At 38.6% G+C, this 5,984-nt stretch overlaps 1 protein-coding gene across 52 annotated transcripts in view; it reads right to left on the reverse strand.

Annotated features, from left to right (window-relative positions):
• The window catches only part of DLG2 (discs large MAGUK scaffold protein 2), a 2,173,362-nt gene that overhangs the window by 431,011 nt on the left and 1,736,367 nt on the right, over window positions 1-5,984 (reverse strand). The gene's annotated exons all lie outside the window — the stretch shown is intronic.

The following is a 5,984-nucleotide window of genomic DNA, read 5'->3' on the forward strand; positions in this document are numbered from 1 at the left end:
GGAAGAAACTGCATCAACTAACGACCAAAATAACCAGCTAACATCATAATGACAGGATCAAATTCACACATAACAATATTAACCTTAACTGTAAGTGGACTAAATGCTCCAATTAAAAGACACAGACTGGCAAATTGGATAAAGAGTCAAGACCCATCAGTGTGCTGTATTCAGGAAACCCATCTCATGTGCAGAGACACATATAGGCTCAAAATAAAAGGATGGAGGAAGATCTACCAAGCAAATGGGAAACAAAAAAGGCAGGGGTTGCAATCCTAGTCTCTGATAAAACAGACTTTAAACCAACAAAGATCAAAAGAGACAAAGAAGGCCATTACATAATGGTAAAGGGATCAATTCAACAAGAAGAACTAACTATCCAAAATGTACATGCACCCAATACATGAGCACCCAGATTCATAAAGCAAGTCCTGAGTGACCTACAAAAAGACTTAGACTCCCACACAATAATAATGGGAGACTTTAACACCCCACTGTCAACAATAGACAGATGAATGAGACAGAAAGTTAAAAAGGATACCCAGGAATTGAACTCAGCTCTGCACCAAGCAGACCTAATAGACATCTACAGAACTCTCCACCCCAAATCAACAGAATATACATTTTTTTCAGCACCACACCACACCTATTCCAAAATTGACCACATACTTGGAAATAAAGCTCTCCTCAGCAAATGTAAAAGATCAGAAATTATAACAAACTGTCTCTCAGACCACAGCGCAATCAAACTAAAACTCAGGATTAAGAAACTCACTCAAAACCACTCAACTACATGGAAACTGAACAACCTGCTCCTGAATGACTACTGGGTACATAACGAAATGAAGGCAGAAATAAAGATGTTCTTTGAAACCAACGACAACAAAGACACAACATACCAGAATCTCTGGGACACATTCAAAGCAGTGTGTAGAGGGAAATTTATAGCACTAAATGCCCACAAGAGAAAGCAGGAAAGATCCAAAATTGACACCCTAACATCACAATTAAAAGAACTAGAAAAGCAAGAGCAAACACATTTGAAAGCTAGCATAAGGCGAGAAATAACTAAGATCAGAGCAGAACTGAAGGAAATAGAGACACAAAAAACCCTTCAAAAAATTAATGAATCCAGGAGTTGGTTTTTTGAAAGGATCAACAAAATTGATAGACCACTAGCAAGACTAATAAAGAAGAAAAGAGAGAAGAATCAAACAGACGCAATAAAAAATGATAAAGGGGATATCACCACCGATCTCACAGAAATACAAACTACCATCAGAGAATACTACAAACACCTCTACGCAAATAAACTAGAAAATCTAGAAGAAATGGATAAATTCCTCGACACATACACCCTCCCAAGACTAAACCAGGAAGAAGTTGAATCTCTGAATAGACCAATAACAGGCTCTGAAATTGTGGCAATAATCAATAGCTTACCAACCAAAAAGAGTCCAGGACCAGACGGATTCACAGCCGAATTCTACCAGAGGTATAAGGAGGAACTCGTACCATTCCTTGTGAAACTATTCCAATCAATAGAAAAAGAGGGAATCCTCCCTAACTCATTTTATGAGGCCAGCATCATCCTGATACCAAAGCCAGGCAGAGACACAAACAAAAAAGAGAATTTTAGACCAATATCCTTGATGAACATTGATGCAAAAATCCTCAATAAAATACTGGCAAACCGAATCCAGCAGCACATCAAAAAGCTTATCCACCATGATCAAGTGGGCTTCATCCCTGGGATGCAAGGCTGGTTCAATATACGCAAATCAATAAATGTAATCCAGCATATAAACGGAACCAAAGACAAAAACCACAGGATTATCTCAATAGATGCAGAAAAGGCCTTTGACAAAATTCAACAACGCTTCATGCTAAAAACTCTCAATAAATTAGGTATTGATAGGACGTATCTCAAAATAATAAGAGCTATCTATGACAAACCCACAGCCAATATCATACTGAATGGGCAAAAACTGGAAGCATTCCCTTTGAAAACTGGCACAAGACAGGGATGCCCTCTCTCACCACTCCTGTTCAACACAGTGTTGGAAGTTCTGGCCAGGGCAATTAGGCAGGAGAAGGAAATAAAGGGTATTCAATTAGGAAAAGAGGAAGTCAAATTGTCCCTGTTTGCAGACGACATGATTGTATATCTAGAAAACCCCATCGTCTCAGCCCAAAATCTCCTTAAGCTGATAAGCAACTTCAGCAAAGTCTCAGGATACATTATCAATGTACAAAAATCACAAGCATTCTTATACACAAATAACAGACAAACAGAGAGCCAAATCATGAGTGAACTCCCATTCACAATTGCTTCAAAGAGAATAAAATACCTAGGAATCCCACTTACAAGGGATGTGAAGGACCTCTTCAAGGAGAACTACAAACCACTGCTCAATGAAATAAAAGAGGATACAAACAAATGGAAGAACATTCCATGCTCATGGGTAGGAAGAATCAATATTGTGAAAATTGCCATACTGCCCAAGGTAATTTATAGATTCAATGCCATCCCCATCAAGCTACCAATGACTTTCTTCACAGAATTGGAAAAACTACTTTAAAGTTCATATGGAACCAAAAAAGAGCCCTCATCACCAAGTCAATCCTAAGCCAAAAGAACAAAGCTGGAGGCATCACGTTACCTGACTTCAAACTTGTAGTATACTACAAGGCTACAGTAACCAAAACAGCATGGTACTGGTACCAAAACAGAGATATAGATCAATGGAACAGAACAGAGCCCTCAGAAATAAAGCCGCATATCTACAACTATCTGATCTTTGACAAACCTGAGAAAAACAAGCAATGGGGAAAGGATTCCGTATTTAATACATGGTGCTGGGAAAACTGGCTAGCCATATGTAGAAAGCTGAAACTGGATCTCTTCCTTACACCTTACACAAAAGTTAATTCAAGATGGATTAAAGACTTAAATGTTAGACCTAAAACCATAAAAACCCTAGAAGAAAACCTAGGCATTACCATTCAGGACATAGGCATGGGCAAGGACTTCATGTCTAAAACACCAAAAGCAATGGCAACAACAGCCAAAATTGACAAATGGGATCTAATTAAACTAAAGAGCTTCTGCACAGCAAAAGAAACTACCATCAGAGTGAACAGGAAACCTACAAAATGGGAGAAAATTTTCGCAACCTACTCATCTGACAAAGGGCTAATATCCAGAATCTACAATGAACTCAAACAAATTTACAAGAAAAAAACAAACAATCCCATCAAAAAGTGGGTGAAGGACATGAACAGACACTTCTCAAAAGAAGACATTTATGCAGCCAAAAAACACATGAAAAAATGCTCACCATCACTGGCCATCAGAGAAATGCAAATCAAAACCACAATGAGATACCATCTCACACCAGTTAGAATGCCAATCATCAAAAAGTCAGGAAACAACAGGTGCTGGAGAGGATGTGGAGAAATAGGAACACTTTTACACTGTTGGTGGGACTGTAAACTAGTTCAACCATTGTGGAAGTCAGTGTGGTGATTCCTCAGGGATCTAGAACTAGAAGCATGCCATTTGACCCAGCCATCCCATTACTGGGTATATACCCAAAGGACTATAAATCATGCTGCTATAAAGACACATGCACATGTATGTTTATTTCGGCACTATTCACAATAGCAAAGACTTGGAACCAACCCAAATGTCCAACAATGATAGACTGGATTAAGAAAATGTGGCACATATACACCATGGAATACTATGCAGCCATAAAAAAACAGTGAGTTCATGTCCTTTGTAGGGACATGGATGAAATTGGAAATCATCATTCTCAGTAAACTATCGCAAGAACAAAAAACCAAATACCGCATATTCTCACTCATAGATGGGAATTGAACAATGAGAACACATGGACACAGGAAGGGGAACATCACACTCTGGGGACTGTTGTGGGGTGGGGGGAGGGGGGAGGGATAGCTTTCGGAGATATACCTAATGCTAACTGACGAGTTAATGTGTGCAGCATACCAGCATGGCACATGTATACATATGTAACTAACCTGCACATTGTGCACATGTACCCTAAAACTTAAAGTACAATAATAATAATAAAAAAAGAAATTTTATATAAAAATAGAGAGGTACTACAAAAAGCACCAATTGGAAAATTAGAAATGGGAAGATTTTCGTATGCCAGCTAGGATTTTAGGCATCTAATTCAAATTGCCCTGGATATCTTTTCATTTCACATAGGAAAGAAATTTTTCAGAATAACACACTCTGATTTTTATTCTTCGACAACATTGAAAAGGTAGAGTTTTTTTTTTGGAAAAAAGGGCAGAGATCTGGATGTCAGAAATGTGGTCTTTCCCCCATGCTCATAATGAACTCAGTGGCCCTAGATAAGTCACTTCATTTTCCTTGTTTTGATTTTTCCTTCCATTCCTTTTCAGTTGTTACTGTCCTCTCCTACTTTATTGAGTGTAGATGGGAGACACCACTGTGATGGGGAAGGAGCATGGGCTTGGGAACCAATGGACTTGGGTTAAGAATTTCTCACCTTTCTTAATGAGGTTCTTGACAATCTCAAAACTGAACATTTTCATCTGTAGTCCTGTCATCATATAATGTAAATAATAGTACCTTTTCACAGTTTGCTCTGATGGGGAAAATAAAGCAGTGTATGTAAAAAAAGTTGCAAAGTATGAAGCATGGAAAATAGTAAATTGAAATTACTTCCCAGGAAGGCAGAGTGACGTGGGTATAGGTGTCTCTAAATGCTGACCTGAACCTGAAATAACCAATGGGTCGAAGGAAGGAAAATACGGCTAGAGCTAAGAATGGAATCTGCAGGATATGGCAATTGCATGTGGTGTGTGAGTGAGGAATCCAGGACAACTTCCATGCTTCTAGCTGGGGTGACTGGTCAGCAGTGGTGCTTTATACTGAGAAAGGAATATAAGAATAATAATAGATTTGAGGGAAATACAATTATTCCAATATTGTATCTGATTAGTTTGAGGGAATATGCATGCCATCAAGGTAGAGATATCTCATTAAATAGATATTACAGTTTAATCTCAGAAGTCAGTAATGGTCTAAAAAGGTACATTTTGGAGTCAATATTGTATAGGTTCATATGAAGCCATGGATATTCCTAGAAAGGTTGTGATGGAAAGAAGTGAAAACTGAAATGAAGACTTAGTGATAGGAAACATTATAGGATGAGTAGCAGAAGGTAACACAGAAAAAAAGACTAAGAAGGAGAGAATTGAGAGGATGCATGAGGGTAAAGAAGAGAATAAGAAGGCATGTCAGCCAAAAACGGGAGCAAGGAGATAGTTTTAGTGGGAAGACTTTAGTCAACAGTTGCTAAAGACCTTAAAGCCCTAAACATGAAACAGGGAGTACTGCTCTTTGGAGTTTGGAATATATTCTGTAGGCAAAGAAGAGGTCATGAGCGCTTTTAAGCAAAATTAAAACATAGCCACTTTTGTAGTTTAGAATAAGCCTTTCATGATCCTCAGGTTTATAAAACAGCTGGAAAAGGGTTAGAGACAGTCAAGGATATGTGGAGAGAAAGCAGTTCTGAAGAAGACTGGCATGAATTCCAAGCCTTTCTGTTCTAGCATTTTCAGGGACCAGTCCTTACAGAGCCATTCTGTAGAGCAAATAGAACCCTTTACCCTGACAGGGGAATGCCACATTTCCCATGGCAACCGAGTGTGGGTTCCAAGGCTAAGAAATGCAGAACACCTCCTATTATTTTGCTGGGTTCTAATTCTACAATCTACTTTCCTTATTGATTTTTCATGCAGACATCCAAATAAATGTAGGATGTTTGACTTCATGGGATCTGTTAGTCTGTTTGTATTAGCCTCATGGAAAAGCCCCAGCTGTATAATGAAAGAGGAGATGTTTCACTTGACATCTGCAATCTGAATCTTCCTTACAATGGTCATGGCAGAGTAATTCCTTACAGTGGTCACTGTAGAGT

Source organism: Homo sapiens, chromosome 11 (genome assembly GCF_000001405.40).
Source record: "Homo sapiens chromosome 11, GRCh38.p14 Primary Assembly".
NCBI lineage: Eukaryota > Metazoa > Chordata > Mammalia > Primates > Hominidae > Homo > Homo sapiens.